This window comes from Homo sapiens, chromosome Y, assembly GCF_000001405.40.
Source record: "Homo sapiens chromosome Y, GRCh38.p14 Primary Assembly".
In the NCBI taxonomy this organism is placed as follows: domain Eukaryota; kingdom Metazoa; phylum Chordata; class Mammalia; order Primates; family Hominidae; genus Homo; species Homo sapiens.
Genome location: NC_000024.10, coordinates 9,284,805 through 9,306,067, shown reverse-complemented (window position 1 = coordinate 9,306,067; position 21,263 = coordinate 9,284,805). Strand labels below are relative to the sequence as shown.

At 45.3% G+C, this 21,263-nt stretch overlaps 2 long non-coding RNA genes across 2 annotated transcripts; both read right to left on the bottom strand.

Moving 5' to 3' along the window:
* Window positions 1-1,454: 1,454 nt before the first annotated feature.
* On the bottom strand, window positions 1,455-13,684 carry LOC105379267 (uncharacterized). The gene is made up of 3 exons (XR_949069.1): window positions 13,513-13,684; window positions 12,193-12,267; window positions 1,455-1,525 (listed from the first exon to the last, which is right to left on the bottom strand). It is a non-coding gene; the product is annotated as an uncharacterized LOC105379267 (long non-coding RNA).
* A 1,155-nt stretch (window positions 13,685-14,839) lies between these two features.
* Window positions 14,840-17,091, bottom strand: LOC105379266 (uncharacterized). Its single transcript, XR_949068.1, has 3 exons — window positions 16,966-17,091; window positions 16,807-16,885; window positions 14,840-16,121 (listed from the first exon to the last, which is right to left on the bottom strand). It is a non-coding gene; the product is annotated as an uncharacterized LOC105379266 (long non-coding RNA).
* Window positions 17,092-21,263: the final 4,172 nt, after the last annotated feature.

Sequence of the window (21,263 nt, the reverse complement as noted above, 5' to 3'; positions counted from 1 at the left end):
TCCCTAGCATGCAGACTTCACGGGTCCTGAAGTTGGATTGCCAAACCCAGTGGCACCCTGCTTGCCAGCTTAAGAGCTGAGTTTGAGGCACACCTGTGGGCAGGAGTGTCAGCCCTCCCAAAACCAAGGTACACAAAGGGACACAGGCACAGGTGTGCACATGCGTGCATCAGCGTAGACACACAGGCTGGACACGCAAACTGGAACGTGCCCATACCCACACTGGTACGAGGGAAACTGGGTGTCTACACCAATACTCAGGTGAGGCTTACTGCTCAGCCACGTACCCTCCCTGGACACACACAGAAGATCCCCTGCCATTTAATTGATCATCTGCAGTAGGATTTATTTTTACTTTTATGCTTTTTTAACTTACCAAAGTATGTTGCATTCTTTTCCCCATCATGAAAAAGACTTTGATACAAGTAAAGAGGAAAAGCACTTTTTATAATGAAATCTTTTATCTGCATCTATATTATTAAGGCATTTTAAAAACTTTATGTCTATTTTTTAATGTCATAGGAAATATCTTGAGAGCCGGGGAAGCATGAGTGAGGATGGCAGAGGGGATAAAGCATGTCAGGGGAGCCTGGGGTCATTGAAACAAAACATGACACGGCTGGTATAGCCATTCTAGAAGTACGTAGACCTAGGCATGCCCTGCGTGCACTCTAGTTGAGCCCATACTGAGCCCCAGGTAGTAGCAGGCCTCAAGGCATAGAAGGGAGCCAGAGAAGGATGATGAGACAGCTATCCCTTGAGCGTTGCTTCTCACCCATTGACCTTTGCCACTTCTGCCTCTTAGGCACTTCAGGTTCCCCAATTCTGAAATATGAGTGTTACAGTTCCCTGATGGGCTTTTCTGCCCCAGTCCAGGGATGGCTGGGATTTCTCACTGCAGGCTCCTCCCTGAGCCTTGAGTTCTCCATGTGTGTCACAGCTGCAGGACCCACAGGCCTCTGAGCCCCCAGCTGTGGGCTGCTTACCTGGCCTCCTCTCTGTTCCCTCTCTGAGGACCTAATCCTTAGGTAGTGCTGCAGGGGATTGAGTCAGAAGCCCTGACTGATGATCTGGAGGAGTGGGGAAGTGGTCTGTGAAAGGTCAGGTCATAGTTCAAAGCCAGTTCCCAAGATGCCAAGGAAAGACCAGCAAGGTCCTTTCCCATGACACCCCACAGCGGCCCCTGCCTCAGCAGTCCTGGCTGACCCTGAGTGGTCACAGTCAGCCATCTAGCTGAGGAAGCTCAGGTAGGCTGTGTCCTTACTGAAGGTGGGGCTTCTTCTGATGACTCTAGAACCACTGGACTACACTAGAGCCAGAAGCCCTGCATCCTGGAACGAGTCAGAAAGGCTCATGCCAGGCCTAGCGTCCCACACTCCACCCTCTCTACCACACCAGGAGGCACTCCTTACCAAGGATGCGAACACGATATTCCTTAATGATCACTTTATTGTGGAAATAAAGGTAGTGATGAAAGGAACACTTCATCCTGCTGCCGGTACCCCGGATGACTGAGTTCCTCCACCTGCCATGCCAAGAAGAAGAGGACAGACTCAAAGGATCCATTTCATCTATCTGGGCTGAGGGCCTGCTGGCTGGGGTGAAGCATGTGTTGCCCCTTCCCAGCTCTACCACTCAGACACCCCTGTGCCCCAGGAGGACCTCAACCTGAACAGGACCCTGGACCCGTCCTGCAGACCCTGGCTCCTCAGCCTGAGCTTCAAATCCATCCTGTAGCTTACTTAGCAGGACTTCCTCATGGTTTCTGAACTCTGCCGACATGTAGGTGTGCTGCACAATCTGCCTCTGGTCAAGGAACCTCCAGATGATTGGGTGGGCATGCCAGGAAACACCCCACAACTTTGCAAGAGCTGGGAGAGTGTTTGGCAGGGCTATCCCAAAACCTTTGACCTGGTACCCTGCATTCGTGGTCCTGTCTCTGTCCAGTGTTGGGGGCATGGTAGTGGTTGTGGTGGTCTTGTGGGAGGGTGGAGGGAGGCCCAGAAAGCCCCTGCCAACAAGGAGCGGGCGGCACAAGTAGGCAGGGGATTGGGTGTGGGGTGCCGTTGTGTGAGGCGGCTGTATCTTCAGAGTTGCTGAGCTGCACATGGTCATTGTGTGCTGGATACTGGACTGGCTCTGCTGAGGGTGTCCAGGTGTGCAGTCCCCTCTTCTGGTCTCCCTGAGAGGTGGGCATGTCCACTTGATGGAGCTGCTGTGGATAGAAGGGACTGCAGGGCTGTGCCTGTCACTCCCCATGGGGCTCCCATGTGTGTAATGGAGGTGTATGTGCAACGGAGGTTGTATATGCCCAGGGCCTACAGCTCTTTGGGTGCAGTGCAGGCAGAAGGAAGAAAGCCTATCTGGGGAGCTGGTGCCTGCCTTGCAGATGACAGCAGCCCCGTGCACCGTGAACCTGAGTCTGAAGCACCTTGTGTTTCTGGGGTAAGGCTGCTGGCCACAGACATGGGCAGCCAGGGTGGTTTCTATGGCTGGCATGGGCATGCAGACTCCCCTTCCTCCAAGGACTTTCTCATGGAAACATGCCCTTCAAGTTTCTGCTGTGCGTGAAGGGTCCATGGGGCCGCTATTCTCCCTTGTGAGTGCTGAGCTTGGCTCCCAGTCCCTACCACGTGCTCTCAGGGCACCCCCAAGCAAGCTGCCCTCCTATCTGCAGGACCCTGGCCTCAGATCCCCTCACTATCCCCCATCCCCTTCCTCCTGGTTGGCCCCGTGTGCCCCTTGCTTGGCTCCCCTGCTCCCCACCCCAGGAAGCCAGATGCCCACCCCCTGCTGCCAGTCATTCCGAATGGGCAGCTGCAAAGATGTGGCTGTGGCCCAGAAGCTGGAGATGCCCTGGCTGATGGCCCCTGTGCCATCCAGGCGGGGGAGGCACCTCTGCCAAAGGTTCCCTCTCAGCTGTGGGCAGGCCATGTGGCCTGGTTATTCATGGAACTCTGCTTCAAGTGAAGGACCTCCAGCGAATCTGTGGCTGGCCAGGGTGTGCTGGGGCCAGGACCAGGCAGTGTCTGCTGGTCCTCCACCAGGCTCCATGTTGGCCTTCTTCTCAACCACCACCATGACGTTGTCCACCACCAGCACCTTCTCCTCCCCCAAGGGCGCCTTCGAGCTCTGTACCCTGGCTGCCCTCTCCTGCAGAACCTCCAATTTGAATGGGGTGCCTCCTTTGGAGGTCCCACTGACCATGACCTGCACTGTCCACTCCATGTCCAGATAAGCATATCCTTAAAATATACTTTAAAAAAATCTTAAAAGCATTCCCATTTCTCCACATCCTCTCCAACATCTGTTGTTTCCTGATTTTAATGATTGCCATTCTAACTGACATGAGATGGTATCTCTTTGTGGTTCCAAGGTCATGGATGAAGCTGAAAACCATCATACTAAGCACACTATCACAAGGACAGAAAACCAAACACTGCCTGTTCTCACTCATAAGTAGGAGTTGAACAATGAGAACACATGGACACAGGGCGGGGAACACCACACACGGGGCAGTCAGTGGGTTGCGGGGCTGGGGAGGGATAGCGTTAGGAGAAATACCTAATGTAAATAATGAGTTGATGTGTGCAGTAAACCAACATGGCACATGTATCCCTATGTAACAAACCTGTATGTTGTGAACATATACCCTAGAACTTAAAGTATAATAAAAAAAGGAAAAAATGGACACAGGAAGGGGAATATCACACTCCGGGGACTGTTGTGGGGTGGGGGGAGGGGGGAGGGATGGCATTGGGAGATACACCTAATGCTAGATGATGAGTTAGTGGGTGCAGTGCACCAGCATGGCACATGTGTACATATGTAACTAACCTGCACAATGTGCACATGTACCCTAAAACTTAATTTATAATAAAAAAAGAAAAAAAAGATAAAAGAAAAAAAAACTGAAAAGGAAAAATAGCTCTCCAAACCCAAATATTAAATAGAAGATTAGTATCAAGTGGCCTAGAATCTAACTCGCATGAAAATGTCACAAACATTCAGCGGATAGTTTCTAAATGCCACAATAAGCCTGGCAGTCTGCAAGAAGCTCAGAAAAACATGGTCCTTGCTCTTCTGAGAGTGCAGTTGTTACAGGCACAGAGATAAATGAGGAATAATAAGTGTGATAACTGCTGTAATAGGCAAATACAGGAAATACAAACCACATTTTCCTCATTTATGAAACACAAGCTTAAAAACCCTTTTGAAGTTCAAGTGAGAATATTTGCTGTTACTGTATAAACTGTCAAGTAGCTACACAAATGTTTTTTTTTTCTCACAGTGATTTATATTGTGTATATTACATGGTTAGTGTAGCATTCTCATAAAGGAAAGCCTGAAATGTGTCTGCTGCTCAGTTTTTGTTTCTCAACTTTTTCAGTCATTGTTATTTATCATATTTTTCCTAGGGGATTTTGAACTTTAAATAGAATATGTAAAAACTGAAAAGAGAAGGACAATGAAATTTCAAGACTACAGTCAATAATTCTATTGATTAATTCAATTGTTTACAGAGCAAAATTTGATTATATTTCTCCCAAAAAATTCTTGGAGAAATTCTAAGATGATGCACTCATTGTTAGAAATTGCCAGAAAGTTGTTGCTTAAGTTAAACTTAACACTTTTTAAGGCCTGAAGATACAGTAATAGTTATGTACTTAAACAGGAAAAATAGGATTTTTAGTGCTACTTTCTCTCACCTGAAATAATTATAACTTTTAAATTGGTATTTATGTCAAATTAAATTTTTCATTATTCTACATGATGTTTTGGATGAGGCATGCATTTTTAAATTTATTTTCACCCTTTTGGACTTCTGTGAGAAACTGCAGACTTAAATTCATATCACAACTATGTTTCAGTTTTACTTGTCTGTTCCTAAAGGTTCATAAAAATAAAGAATTCCACTTATGCTTGTACCTTTTAGTAACCTTATTTCAGATAACGGTGCATATTACTGCAGAAATCACATGGACAGGTCCAAAGCGGGGAGGAGGAGGATGAGGAGGAGGAGAAGAAGAAGAAGGAGGAGGAGGAGGAGGCAAGCTTTTAAGTCTATACATTAGTATCACTGTATCAGAAACTCAGTAGTCACAGTGAAATAAAAACAATGATCACAGTCAATTCCATCTCATACCTAGACTGAAATATGAAACTTCTAAAGAAAAGAAAGTTAAGAACTTTGGGCATATCAAAATTTTCCTATACTGATAAAATTATTGGTGACTTTTTCTCACTAGAAAACATAAAATTCCATGCTTTGTATATGTGTAAATAAAAATATTTTATTTCCATCAGTTATGATATGCAAGCAAGTAATAAAGTGAAAGTACAATAATGAAATAAGGAAATTTCTCTGTGTCAAAAAATTCCATTGAGGCTATTAATTTTACAAAAACCACAGAGAATGCATCATGAAACTACATTATACAGTACTTTTTAGTATTTTACTTGCATTTTAAATAATCAACAAATGAAAGGAAATTCTTAATCGTTATTTATTACCAATAACATTACTCAAATAATCCTTTTGAGATTAAGTATTTTAAACAAAACATTAAAAACAAATTGTATTGACTGATATCAGCTTTCAATGAAATAACACTTCTGTATTCGTAGTCATGTGAAGTATAAAATTCTCCTTACAGTGGATCTTTTATAACACCAGTTTTATTATTTTCTCTGATACAAACCCTGTAATATCTCATGGCTTTACTGTATCCATATATTACATGCCTCCAGAGAGTAGGCTTCAAACAGAGGGAAAAATTATATTTGTGACAAAATTCTAGGAAAGGGAAAGTTAAAATGGGAGAATAATTTCTAAATTTCTAACTGTTCATCAATGGATTTGGATATATTTAGATATAGACAAATATTTGCACACTGTAAGTTAGCACATGTGTATATTAAATTTATATGAGATACTCATAATGTATGGGTTGTGTAATCTTTTAGTTCTCAATTTTTCATGTGGGAAATTTGGTAAGAGTTTATCCTTATCAAATAATCAATTTGAAGTCCTATACTCAATTTGATGTAAAATCAACAAAATCTCTGTTGACATTCACTTTAATTGATCCAATAATGTTAACTGCTGATAGCTTCATTCTCCTTGTCCCAGGTTGGCAGCCTGAAAGTTGATTCTCACTCTAATTCAGCACTCAAGGTGCCATCCACAACAGACTATTACTTTGCTGTGGATTGTGACTTCTCACACCAACACTTTTTTCCTGTAACAGTCCTACCTTTGTATGTTTAAAGAATTTGTAAGTGGCTAAAAAAAATAAAAGTGCAGTGAAATGTCAGGCCATTCTGTGAAATTTTCCATTGTTTCTATATCTCTGATTTACCTTTCATGTTATGGAGAACAAGAGAAACAATTCAATACGTTTCTTAGTATCCAGTCCAATGCACCCTTTCTTATTAATACCAAACCCATCCATTCAAGGCACTGACATCTAAACACAGCTAGATATATCAAAATCTCTTCTCATTAAAAACCTTTATATTAATCACTGTTGCCCAGATCTGGACTCTGACTATGAAATCCTCAGATGGAAATTGCTGTAATGACTCACACTATGGGAATGACTATTTTTCAGCATAATTATTGCTGTCAACTTACTGAAGAATATCACATTAGATGGTAGCTCTTAGATACATAAATCCTAGTGATTAATATTTAATGTCCAGCGTTTATGATATTGCACAAGTAAAAATCTTTGATACCTTAAATGATTAGCTGAGCAATGACTTAAATAACAGCAATTCAAACCTTAATTTACTTACTATAAGTGCCATACATCATTAACTCCTGGTGAATACAAAGTTGGGAAATTTCAAGTGCTGAATTGGTTACTAAGTTGGGAAATTTCAAGTGCTGAATTGGTTACTAAATTATGTATTTCATGGTATTTTATAAAACTATCCTTGCCATGTATGATGCCTCACCTACAAGGATGAAGCTTTAGCATATATATATATATATATATATAAAATGTCTTTGGTTCTTAATATCTCTCTACATTTGTCTTCAAAACCTCAACACAAAAACACTCATGTACTTGACTTTCAGCTGACTTGACTACCAGTTATTAGGGTTTCAGTAAACAAAATAACGATTTCAAAATTTGTTGACCAAATATGAGAAATCACCCTCTCACCATAAGAAATAATTATTCTCAAGTGCTTCTGCAAATGCAAAATTGAAAGAAGAAATGAAGTCTAACATATTGCAATATTGTAAAATCTAAAATTTCCTCTTTGAGATCTGGTGGTTCATGCCTGGAATCACAGCTCTTTGGGAGGCTGAGAAGGGAGAATTGCTTCAAACCCAGAGTTTGAGACTAGCACAGGCAACATAGCAAGACCAGTCTCTACAAAAGTAACTAATTAATTAATTAATTAAATTGGGCATGATGGCACACACCTATTTTTCTATTCACTCAGGAGTTCAATGTTGCAGTGGGCTGTGATTGCACACTGCACTTCAGCCTGGGCCACAGGGCAAGACTTTGTTTCTACAAAATAATTCAATATAACAGAACAAAGTCAAACAAAATAAAAACACTTTCCGGTGTTCTTTGGAAGTTTGTACAATTGCTCCAAAGCATAGACATTGTTTAAAGTTGAGCAGTTCATGGGGAATGGGCAGTGAACATTGTTTATATTGTTTTCCAAAAATTAGGATAAATATGTTATAATATTATATGTAAATATCTAATAACCTTTGGTACAATAAGTATTGACAAATGACAGGCCATTGTGTTTATAGACATTTCCTTCAAAATATTCATAGTTTAATTGGAGAATAAAGAGAACAGCGATAATTGCAATGTACTCTGACAAGTGTTACAATAGACACAATTTAGTAACTTAGTTGGAGAGGAATGAAGTTCTTAACGGGGTTTGCAGGGGTTTGGGGACCATTCTTAGGGCAGGAACAATTGACTGGATCAGTAAGGATTCAAATTTCCATGAAGAATGTTTGGGAGGAAAACATTGTAGAAAAAAAGAAACATTCTTTCTATCAAAAGAAGTACTAACAATGCACATGATGCCATCTGACCAATTCTTAGACCATACTAGCTCACTAAATATTTCTTGAATGAATCTATGAAAGGAAGCTATTGGGAAAGGGATTCTGCAAGGGATTTTCAAAATCCTATAAAGGAAAGTTAATACCCTGGACTTTACAATTTTGCCTGCTTTTGTTTATGTTCTTATTATGTTTACTACCTCATAAGCTCTGTTTTACTTTTTGTCCTCTTCACAAATATCATGCATGAATCATTCCTGATACTACTTCTCTCTTAATCTCTTCATACTATATTTCTCTCTGATACTCCTTTGTGTGAGGTCCTGGGTTTGTATGCCCACAGATACATCACTCACCTCTCCCTGGCACTATTCTGTTATAGAGATGCCTGACCCCTGGGAGGCACATTTCCTAGGCTCCCATAAAATTTACTCCCTATTTTAGGTCAGTCAAGGGGTGATACTGCAGAGATTAGAGAAAAAGATGAGAGAAGCCTGTTTGTTTCCCTTTCCTTCTCAGTAGGGGATATCTTTCCACAGTAATTCCATGGCCTGCAGGACATGCCATCTGTGTTTCCATTTTCTATGTAGTGACCCTAATCCTAGTCTGGTTCTTCTAATGCCATCTTCTCCAATTGTCTTCTCTAAAGGATCTGGGTACTATTTTTGGAGTTTTAAATTTAAAAAATATTGATATGGAAGGGGGGCAGGGAAGTGTCTGGTAGAGGAGGGTGTGATTCTTGGCTAGGGATCCACCCTCAGGCCTGTGCTCACTGACCTAGATGAGGACACACACTTCTGTTTTCTTGCCCAAATTGGTGAGGACATGCCCTTCTGTTTTTTTGTTTTTTGTTTTGTTTTGTTTTTGTTTTGCCCAAGTGTTGCACTTTCCAAGACCACCCTGGCCTGCCATACCCCCATCATCTTCTATAAGAATCCCTGAGACCCTAGCAGGCACAGACAGAGCAGCTGGACATCGACAGGAACCATCAGCAGACAAAGACACAGCAACTGGACCCCAAGAAGACACCAGAGAAAGGAGAGGACAAGGATGGAGGTGGTAGGCTATTCACCACAGAAGAACACGGAGTTCCTCGGGGCTGTGAGAGGAGATCGCTGAGCTGCCCCATTCCAGGGGAAAAGCACCTTCTCACTCCATCTCCTTTCTAGCTCCCCATTCATCTGCTGAGAACTTCCACTCAATGAAACCTTGCACTTACTGTAGAAGCCCACGTGTGAGCCAGTTCTTCAATTACATCAAGGCAGGAAATCCAGGGATCCAGAAAGCCCTCTGTCCTTGCAGTAAGGCAGGGTGTCTAATTGAGCTAACACAACCTGCCTACAGATGAATAAACTAAATTAACGCCGTGTAACATATGCCCAATGGGGATTCAGGAGCTGTAAAAATTCACCCCTGGATGCTGCCTGGGGTCAGAGCCCCACAACCTGTCCTAATTTCTTGCCCAGCAGTGGGGGATAAGAAATATTTTCCTGTTTCAATATGAGTCTGTTTCCAATGCAGTGTGCTTTCTGCAATACTGCAGTGTTACTTCATTGTATATATTTAACAAAATAAGTTACAAACTGTAACTAATATGAGAAGAAAATAAATGGTGGGGAATAAGGAAGAAAAATGAAACATTGTGTTTTACAATGAATGTAAACAATTATAAGTATGATTAATCAATATGTCAGACCAGCCAGGCAGGTGCTTAACGTCATGAGGGGACACTACTTCACCATCTTGGGATTTCATTCTGGGACAGAGAGTGTGAGCAGCAATAAGGTCTGATAGGGAAAGGGATACAATCTGGTGTGGTGTGGATTGTGTCCCACACCTGCACCTGAAAAAAAGGTGAGGACAGATGACACAGAAGTTGCTTCCACCTGCATCCCCACATTCCGTTGATTGCACAAGCAGCCCACACCATGGCCCTGTGTTCAAGTGGGTATTCTCCAACCTGCCATTAACATATGGAGTGCAAACTGGGGTTTTGCACTTTGATGATTTTCATACCCAGGGCCAAATGGGAGTGGGATGGATTGATGTGGGTGGGATGTGGCCTCCACACTTGCCTCTTCATTTTCTGACTTTGTGTTCCTCATCGAATTAGGGTTTCCTTGGTCTGGTTCACCATCTTCCACACAAAACATTTCCCAGTTCATGAAGGATGACCCTCATGGGAATTCATTGCATAAGTGTTTCCTTCTTAACACTCATGTTTTAGATGGCTGGACAGCTTTGATAGTTTTAAAATGTAAATTCCCACACAGCCACCAACAGGGAAACAACTCATCTCCCACTTCTATCGGAGGGTGGCACAATTCCTGTAGGATGAGAAGCAGGTAACAGTGTCTAACATTTGCCTCGTTATCTAGGCTCTGTTTCATTTCATGTGCACATCCTTTCTCATTGTCACAGGGCTCCTTCACTGGGCTGTTGCTGGATGGAACTACTCTCACCACAGATCTTTTGGCTTCCAGGGATTTCAGAGAGGAAATGGGACTTCAGATAGACTGGCTGAACTCCAGGTTGTGGGTCCTGGTTGCGTCTTGGGGGCTGAGGATATTTGCACTTTGAAGGAGGATTTTGGGTCCTCTGACAAGAATCGTTGAACGTTGCTTGGACTCCAGCACAAGGCAGCTCATTCTCATAGGTGAGCATTGATTTTTCTTTGCTTTCCTGGGGTGTCCACATTGCCCATCAATAACATTACTGGACACCTTTTTCAGGCTTGCCATCGCCACAGATGGCCTCTTAGACACTGTCACAAGCTCATCTGCCCACAAGCGAGGCCAGATCAAGGTGAGAGAACACTGCTCAACCTTGGATTTGCCTATGTCGTGGTTCCTGCCTTTCCCAGATAGGCCCTGTGAGGCCGAGGATGAAGGGAGGCAGTGAGGTGAAGTGCCCAGCACCTTTCAACTCTGAGGTCTTAGGTATGATTCCATCACATAAAGAACCCTCAACAACTCATCAGACTCTTCCAATCCCCATCGGACCTGATTCTTGCACACAGACTCTTTCAGGAATGGAGACAGAAGAGCCATCTCCAGCGACCACCTCACAGTCTCGAAATACCTCCTCCTCCACCGGGACCTGACCAGCGAGATGACCCAAAGGGGCAATAAGGTCAAGACTCTTAGGTTCCTGCAGTAGGTTATCACAGACAGCCTTTTTCTCAGTACCAGTCTAGCTCTGCCTGTACCATTTTCATCTGCTTAGGCAGCCTGACAGCTCTGACAGCCAGGCATCCAAGCCTGCCTCACGAATGCGCATATGATAGCCTCAAAGTACCAGACCTGAGAAGGGAGCTATTGCTAGCTTCACAGTGAATGCCACCATTGCCTAGTGACAAGTCCCTGTGGCTTGGCAGAGAAGGAGAACTCCCTGGAGGTGTGTTGGCGGTGGAATCTTGCCTGTCTTGTCTCAGAGATCCACAGGACAGTCCCATGATTCTAGGAGTGAGTAGATGTGAGTCAGCCTGAAGAAACATCAAGCAGAACCCCAGGAAGGAACTGTGAAATCCCTACAGATCCATAAGGATCTGCAGGATGCCTCAGGCCTAATTAGACGTTGTAGGGGTGAGTATTTTTGAAACTCGTCCCACAGTGATTACTAGGTACAGCCCACCTGTGTTCCCCGGGGTTGCTCTCTCCCAGGTGGGGCTTCCTGAAGAACCACTTAGCCTCAGGAGCTGCTGGGCTGTGTTTCTGTTGGAGTGTTGCAAGTGTTGGATGTCTGCTTGCCTGTGTGGCTTTGTGTATTTGTGGGTGTATGTGTGGGTGTGCATGCCTGTAAGTGGAGTCTGCTTATAGTAGTGTGGCTAACACATTGCAGTGCTTCTTTTTTTTCAGTAACTCAACATTCTGGTCGCCTGTGTGTCTGTGGCTCTGCTTGGACTGTGGGTCTCTGTGTTCTTTATTCTTCTGTGGATCGTGAATCTGCAGCGAATTGGGAGTCTGGTTGAGACCCGCCGGAGGCCAAACTACCTCCCCCTGCCAAAAAAGAAAAAGGTACTCTTCTGGAAAGAAGAGGGGCACGTCATACCCAGGAATTGACGCCTCCCAGTGTTTCATTGTCCTGTGGCCAACCCAGGGAGGGACACTAGCAGTCTTGTCCACAGGACCCCTTGAATTTACCTCCAATTCATTTCCCAGCCAAGCAGGTGCTTAACGTCATTAGGGGAAACTCCTCCATTGTCTTGGGATTTCATTCTGAAACAGAGAGTGTGAGCAGCCGTAAGTTCACATAGGGGTGAGCATACAATCTGGTGAGGGGTGGACGGGGTCCTGCAACTTCACCTGCAAAAAAGGTGAAGACAGAGGACATGGACAGTGCTTCCAAATGCATCTCTGCATTCCCTTAATTGCACCAGCAGTGTGCACCATGACCCTGTGTTCACCTGGGAGTACTCCAACGTGCAGGGAACATTTGGTGTGCAAACTGGGGCCATCCTGGCAAACTCCTGATTTGAGGGCTTTCATTCCCATAGCCAAATGGGAGTGAGATGCATTGACGCTGGGTGGGATATAGCCTCCATACTTGCCTCTTCCTTTCCTGTCTTCCATGTTCCCTGTCGGCCTAGGTTTTCCTGGGTCTGGCTAAGGTCTTACACACTAAACATTTCCCCATTCATGGAGGATGACCCTCACTGGAATTCATTGCATGTTTCCTTCTAAACACTGTCACATTTTAATGACTGGGCTCCTTTGATACATTTAAAACCATAAGTCAGCATTACATATGCCATAAAAGAAACTCTTTTTCTCCCACTTCTGTTGGAGGGCTGCATGATTCCTGTAGGATGAGAAGCAGGCAGGCATGTCTGGCTTTTGTTTGGTAATCTAAGCTGTGTTTCATTGTGTCTGCATGTCCTTTCTCATTGTGGAGGAAGTATTTCATTGGACTGTGGCTGGATGCAACTGCCTCTCTCCACAGATCTCTTGGCTTCCAGGGATTTCAGGGAGCAAAAGGGAAGTCGGATAGGCTGGCTGCACTCTAGAGTGTGGATCCTGGTCTCTTTGTGGGGACTGACTTTGTTTGCACTTTGCAAGAGGATTTGGGTCCTCTGACAGGAATCTTTGATCACTGCTTGGACTCCAGCACAAGTCAGCTCCTTCTCTCAGGTGAGTTTTGATTTTTCTTTGCTGTCATGGTGGGTCCACACTGACTTTCAACAACACTACTGGACACCCTTTTCAGGCTTGCAATGGCAACAAATGGTCTCTGAGACACTGTCTCAACCTCCTCTGCACCTGTGAGCACCCACTTTGAGGTGTGAGAACACTGCTCCACCTTGGACTTTCCTTTGCCATGGTCCCTGCCTTTCCCAGAGAGCCCTTGCAAGGTTCAGAGTGAAGGGAGGATGTGAGGTAAAGGGCGTGGCTAACTTTCGCTGACAATGCCTCTGTGGTCTCAGGTATGATTCTGTCAATCAAAAAGAACCCTGAACAACTCACCAGATTATATTCCAAACCCCATGGGAACCAATTCTTGCACAGAGTCTCTTTTGGGAATAGAGTCAGAAGAGCAGCATCCGGCGATCACCACACAGTCTCAAAATTCCTCCTTCTCCAGCCAGACCAGGCCACAAAAATGGCCCGATGGGGCCCTAAGGTCGAGACTTACAGGGTCCCGCAGTGGGTTATCGCAGAAAGCCTTTCTCCCGATACTAGGCTGGCTCTGCCTGTACCATTTTCCTCTGCTTAGGAAGGCTCACAGATCTGAAAGTTGGGCGCCCGCTCCTGCCTCGCGAATGCGCATGCGCTCTTCTCAAGCTACGAGGCCTAAGCTGTGAGCTTTGTCTAGCATCACAGTGAATGCCATCGTTGCATAGCAGCAAGTCCCTGTGGCTTGGTGGAGAAGGAGACCTCCGTGGAGGTGCGTAGGCGGTGGACTCTGGCTGTTTTCTCTGTGGGATCACGGGATAGTCCCATGATCCTAGGAGAGGGCAGACGTGAGCCAGCCTGACGAAAAGTCAAGCAAAGCCCCAGGGATAAACAGTGAAATTCCTAAGGATCCAAGTATATCTGTAGGATGCCTCAGGCCTGCCTAGACGTTGTAGGAGTGAGTCCTTTAGAAACTTGCCCCAATGTGATTTCGAGGAACAGACCACCTGTGTACCCTGTGGTTGCTCTCTCCTTGGTGGGGCTTTCTGCAGAACCATGAAGCCTCAGAAGCTGTCTGGGTGTGTGTTTCTGTGGGATTGTTGTGAGTGTTGGATGTCTGCTTATGTGTGTGGCTTTGCCTTTGTGTGTGAGTGTGTGTGTTAGTGGAGTCCGCTTAAATGAATGTGGCTAACACTCTGTAGTGCATCTTTTGTTTGAGTCTTCCCATCTTTTGGTGGCCTATCTATGTGGCTCTACCTGGACTCTGTGGCTCTGTGGTCTTTATTTTTTTGTGGATAAAGAATCCTCAGTGAATTGGGAGGCTGGCTGTGACCTGACAGGGTCCAAATCACCTACCCCTGCAATAAAAGCCACTCCTCTTCACACAGAAGTAGACATCTCCCGCCATGTTTCATTTACCTGTGGCCAAGCCCGAGAGAGACACTAGCAGTCCTGTCTGCAGGGCCCCTTGAATTTACCTAGAATTCTGTTCCCAGCTGAGCAGGTGCTTCAAGTTGGGAGGGGGCACTCCTCCATCATCTCGGGATTTCATCCTGGGACATAGAGTGTGAGCAGCAATAAGATCAGATAGGAGTGAGGACAAAATCTGGCTAGGGATGGATGGGGTCGCGGAACTTTACCCACACACACACAAAAAATGAATGCAGATGACACAGAAGGTGCTTCCAACTCCATACCCACATTCACTTAATTGCACAAGCAGCCCACACCATGGCTCGATGTTCACGTGGGAGTACTCCAACGTTCAAGGAACATTTGGAGTGTAGGTTTGGGCTATCCTGGCAAACTCTTGATTTCAGGGGTTTCATACCCAGAGACAAATGGAAATGGTATAGCTTGATGTTGGACGGGATGGGTCTTCTGCAAGGCCTTCTCATTGTGGACGAGCTCTTTCATTGGGCTGTTGCTGGATGGGACTGCCTCTTGCCACATATTATTTTGCTGCCAGGGATTTCAAAGAGCAAAAGGGACTTTGGGTAGGCTGGCTGCACTCCATGTTTCAGGTGGTCCTTGTCTCATTGTGGGGTCTGAGGTTGTTTGCACTTTGCAGGAGGCTATTGGGTCCTCTGACAGGAATCATTGAACATTGCTTCAACTCCAGCACAAGGCAGCTCATTCTCTCAGATGAGTCTTGGATTTTTCCCTGCTTTCATCAGGAATCCACAGTGCCTCTCAACAGAACTACTGGACATAGTTTTCAGGCTTGCCATCACCACAGATGGCCTCTGAGATACTGTCTCAACCTCATCTACACCCATGAGAGGTCAGTGCAAGATGTGAGAACACTGCTCCATCTTGGACTTGCCTTTGTTGTGGTTCCTGCCTTCCCCAGAGAGCTCCTGCAAGGCCGAGGATGAAGGGAGGCAGTGAAGTCAAGAGCCTGTCCGTCTTTTATAGACACCTGCCTCTGGGGTTTCAGGTATGATTCTATCACCGAAAGAACCCTCAAAAATACACCAGAATATATTCCAAACTTCACGGGACCTGATTCTGGAATACAGCCTCTTTCAGAGAAAGAGTGAGAAATGCAGTTTCCAGGGACCACCTCATGGTTTTGAAGCACATCCATCTCCAGGGGGACCTGACCACGGAGAAAGCCTGAACATGCTTTGAGGTTGAGACTCTTAGGGTCCCACAGTGGGTTTTTGCAGACAGCCTTTTTCCCAATACCAGGCTGTCTCTGCCTGTACCATTTTTCTCTGTATAGGCAGGCTGACAGTTCTGATAGTCAGGCACTTGTGCCTGCCTCATGAATGGGAATGAGCATGTCTCAGGGCATCATGCCTGATTGTGAGCTCTGGCTGGTGTCACAATGAATGTCACCATTGCTTAGACAAAAGTCCCTGTGGCTGGGTGGAGAAGGAGAACTCCATGGAGGTTCGTTGGTGGTGGACTGTCGCTTGTCTTTTCTGTGGGATCCATGGGATAGTCTGATGAATCTAGGAGATGGCAGAGGTGAGCCAACCAAAAAAAAAAAAAAAAAAAAAAGTTCAAGCACAGCCCCAAGAAAAAACTGCAAAATCCCTAAGGATCCAAAAGTATCTGCAGGATTTGTCAGTCCTGCCTAGACGTTGTAGGGGTAAGTCTTTTTGTAACTTGCCCCACTGTTATTTCTAGGTACAGCCCACCTGTGTTCACTGGAGTTGCTCTCTCTCAGGTGGGGCTTCCTGAAGAACCACACAGCTTCAGGATCTGCTGGGCTGTGTGTTTCTGTTAGAGTGTTGTGACTTTTGGATATCTGCATGTGTTTGTGTGGCATTTGTGTGTGTGTGGGTGTGTATGTATGTGTGCACCTGCAAGTGAAGTCTACTTAAAGAAATGTGGCTAACACACTTCATGGCTTTATTGTTTTGAGTGTCCTAACATTCTGGTAGCCTATATGTGTGACTCTGCTTGGGCTGCGGAGTTCCATGTTTTTTCTCTTTTCTCTTTTTTTTTTCTGTGGATCATAAATCCTCAGTGAATTGGGATAGGGTCCAAGAACCTCTGGCATCCTAATTACCTAACACTGCAAAAAAATAAAATCCGCAACAAAAAAACAAACATCTCCCATTGTTTCATTGTCTTGCAGCCAACCCAGGGACAGACACTAGCAGTATTGTCCACAGGGCCCCTTGAATTTACCTCGAATTCAGTTCCCAGCCAAGCAGGTGCTTCAAGTCATGAGGGGGCACTCCATCATCCTGGGATTTCATCCTGGGACCTAGAGTGTAAGCAGCAATAAAGTCAGATAGTGGTGAGGATACAATCTGGTGAGGGGTGTATTAGGTCCCACAACTTTACCTGGAAGAGAAATGACACAGAAGGTGCTTCCAACTCCATCCCTGCATTTCCTTAACTGTACAAGCAGTCCACATCATGGCCCAGTGTTCAGGTGGTGAGGAAAGATGCCACCTCTCTTATTGTCTCATAAATCAGAAAAAGAAAGAGGAAGTAAAAACTAAAGAAAGGCAGAAATGAGATCAATAGTCAGAAAGCTGGCACCACACTCCAGGCCTGGTACTTAAAAATCAACCCTGACCTAACCACTTGTATTATCTATAGATCCCAGACATTGTGTGATGAAGCATTGTCAAACTTTCTGTTCTGTTCTATTCTGTCCTGGTTACTGATCCATGCAGCCCAGCCACATACCGATGCTTGCTCAATTGATCATGACACTTTCACATGGATCCCCTAGATTTGTAAGCTTTAAAAGCTGCAGGGATCTCTCTCTCAGGGAGCTCAGTTTTTGAGTCACAAGTCTGCTAATGCTCCTAGCCAAATAAAGCCACTTCCTTCTTTAAGCTGGTGTCTGAATGGTATTGTCCATGGCTGCTCCTGCTACATTTTTCAGTTCCTTGACTGGAAGTAACGTGATTAGCATAAGGTTGAGGCAGCCCATTAGGTGGCTTAGGTCTGCCTTGTGGAGCATCCTTGAGGAGGACTCCATCCAGCTTGAGCGATGTGGATCCTGAGAGAGCTCCAGGGTAGGCAATAGCCCCAGTGGAATGCCTCACTAGAGCAGTACACAGCAGGCTCCCACAAAGGATCGATGTAGTGGCTGTACACCAGGAAGGAACTGGTACTTGGAGTCTGGACATCTGGAACATGGTATGGCTGGTCTTGGGAACTTGCCTACTCCAAGTGGAAGCATGGCCTGATACCCACGGCATGCCTTTCTCAGCACTTTGGTTTAGGTTTAGGTTTTGACTTGGATTGAATTACTTGATTTAGTTTGAATAAGAGTGTGTGACCTTTACCCTTTCCTTCTTGCAGTGTGAGTATTGTCTTTTCTTGGGAGAAAAATGAATCAGACACAAAGTAAGTCCAACTTGCTAGGAAATATGTTGAAAAATTTCAAGAAGAGATTTAAAGGAAACTATGGAGTTACTATGACACCAGGGAAACTTAGAACTTTGTGTGAGATAGACTGGCCAGCGTTTGAAGTGGGTTGGCTATCAGAAGGAAGCCTAGATAGGTCCCTTGTTTTAAAGCAATGGCACAAGATAATCTGTAAGCCAGGGCACCCAGACCAGTTCCCATACATAGACACTTGGTTATAGCTGGTTTTAGACCCCCTGCACAGTGGTGAAGAGGACAGACAGCAGCAGCAGTGCTAGTGGCAAAAAGACAGATAGCCAAGGAAGCATCCAACTCCACCCGCTGAAGGAAGTCAGCTCCTAAAGTTCTGTCTGACCCAATATGAGAAGACTCATGGCAGGAAATGGCACCAACGATGCCCCCAACCTTATCAAGAAGAGAGACTCCCTACTCCTGAGCCCACAGCACCTGTGCCTCTGCAGGACACACACCCACCCCTATGCCACCAGAGTAGACAAGAGAGGATGTGAAGCCGTGGGAGAAACCCCACCCTTGGCAGTTCACTGATGACCTAAGGCTGGGATTCAAATTCCCCTGCGGAAGCAGCAGTGTAGTGTGGTAAAGGAGGATGGGCATATGTTGAAAAGGCGTGCCTTCATGTATCAACCCATTACATCTGCTGAACTCCTAAATTGGAAAAATAATACCCCATTTTATACTGAATAGCCTCAAACTTTAATTGATTTACTCCAAACTATTATCCACACCCACAACCCTACTTGGGCCAATTGCTGCCAGCTGCTTATGTACCTCCTTAACACAGATGAAAGGCGAAGGGAGTTTCAGACAGCAACCAAGTGGCTGGAGTGACATGCTCTGGCCAGTTACCAAAATCCGCAGGAGTATGTGAGGATCCAAGTACCAGAAACAAACCCCAAGTCGACCCAAATGAAGGGAAAGGTATAGAAGGGCTAAAGCAATATAGGGAAGGCATCCTGGAAGGGTTAAAGAAGGGAGCTCAGAAGGCCAGAAATGTTAACAAAGTGTCTGAGGTCATTCAAGGAAAAGAAGGGAGTCCAGCACAATTTCATGAAAGACTTTGAGGCCTATTGTAAGTATACACCGTTTGACCTTGAAAGCCCTGAAAATTAAAGCATGATTAACATGGCTTTTGGTCATCAAAGCACAGGAGACATTATAAGAAAACTTCAGAAACAGGCTAGGTTTGAGGGCATAAACACATCACTGTTATTGGAAATAGCCAATCAGGGTTTGTGAATAGAGATGCAGCAGGCCATAGAGAAAGCTGCAAAGAAAGCAAGCACCAAGCCAGGTGAAAGGCTGACCTCCTAGTCACAGCTATTAGAGGGTTTCACCCAAAGGGCCAAAGAAGGGAAGGCCCTGGGAAAAAAACACCCAGTTTGACCAACCGCACCTGCAGCATAACAAGTGTGCATACTGTAAAGAAATAGGGCATTGGAAAGACAAGTGCCCCCAGTTAAAAGAGAAACAAAATGGCTCTGAGCCAGAGGTCTCAAGCAAGGATGAAGTGGCCTTGTTTAATTTGGCAGAAGAGTTACTGGACTGAGGGGAACTGGGCTCAGGTGCTCCCTATGAGCCCACAGTCAGTATGACAGTCAGGGGCAAAGTTTCTTGTCAATACTGGTGTGGAACATTCAGTAGTAACCACCCCGGTCACCCCTTTATCCAAAAATACTATTGATATATTCAGAGCCACAGGAGTCTCAGAGAAACAAGTTTTCTGCTTGCCCCAGACTTGTACTGTAGGGGGACATGAATCCCTGTTCATTATGGCCCTTATGGTACCCTGGGAGGAGGAATGGAGACTTTTCTTAAGTAAGTCAGGCAAAGAGATAGGACCAGCTCTGGCTAAGTGGTAGCCAAGTGTGTGGGCAGAAGATAAACCTCTAGGACTGGCAGTCAACCAAGCCACCATACTCATAGAAGTTAATTTTGGGGTCCAGCCGGTCAGGCAAAGACAGCGCCCAGTCCCCAGACAAGCTCTTGAGGTTCATCTCAAATGTCTGAGAGCCTTTGGAATTATAGTCCCTTGTCAGTCGCCATGGAACACTCCCCTCCTGCCTGTTCCTAAGCCAGGGACTGAGGACTACAGGCGAGTACAGGACTTGTGCTTGGTCAGTCAAACTACAGTGACTTTACATCCAACAGTACCTAACCCATACACATTATTGGATTATTGTCAGCTGAGGACAGGTGGTTCACTTGTCTAGACCTGAAGGACACCTTCTTTAGCATCAGACTATCTCCTGAGAGCCAGAAACTGTTTGCCTTCCAGTGGGAGGGAAGATCTGGGGTTAGGTGTCACCACTCAGTACACTTGAATCCTGCTTCTCCAAGGGTTCAAGCAGTCACCCACCACCTTCTGGAGGTGCTGGCTTGAGACCTCAAAAAGTCCCCCACCAAAGACCTATGCTGCATTTTGTTCCAGCACATTGATGATCTTCTGCAGGCTCACCCCATGGCAGTTGGGTGTGCCAGAGGGACAGAGGCCCTCCTTCAGTAGCTGCAGGAGTGTGGGTATAAGGTGTCCAAGAAGAAAGCTCAAATCTGAAGACAGCAGGTAAGCTACCTGGGATTGACTATCCAACAGGGGGAACACAGCTTGGGGTCAGAAAGAAAGCAAGTCATCTGCAGCCTATTGGAGCCTAAGACCAGAAGGCAAGTGAGAAAATTCTTAGGAGATGTGGGGGTTCTGCAGACTGTGGATTGCAAACTTTGCAGTACTAGCCAAGCTTCTGTATGGGTTTACAAAGGGGGAGACCAGGAAGCTTTTGAATGGGGGTCCCAACAAGAGCAAGCCTTTTATGAGTTAAAAAAGAAACTCATGTCAGCTCCAGCTCTGGTTCTGCCTGACCTGACAAAGCCATTTACACCATATGTGTCAGTGAGAGAAAAAATGGCAGTTGGGGTTTTGACTCAGAATGTGGGGTCCTGGCTGAGGCCAGTGGCCTACCTCTCTAAAAAACTAGACAGGGTTTCTAAAGGTTGGCCCTCTTGTTTGAGGGTCTTAGCAGCAACTGTCCTGATAGCACAAGAAGCAGATAAACTAACTCTTGGGCAAAACATGAACATAAAGGCCCCACATGCTGTGGTGACTTTACTGAATACCAAAGGATATCATTGGCTAATGAATGCTAGCCTAAGCAAGTACAAAGCTTGCTCTGTGAAAATCCCTGCACAATCAATGAAGTTTGTAACAACCTGAATTTTGCCACCTTGCTCCCTGTATAAGAAAG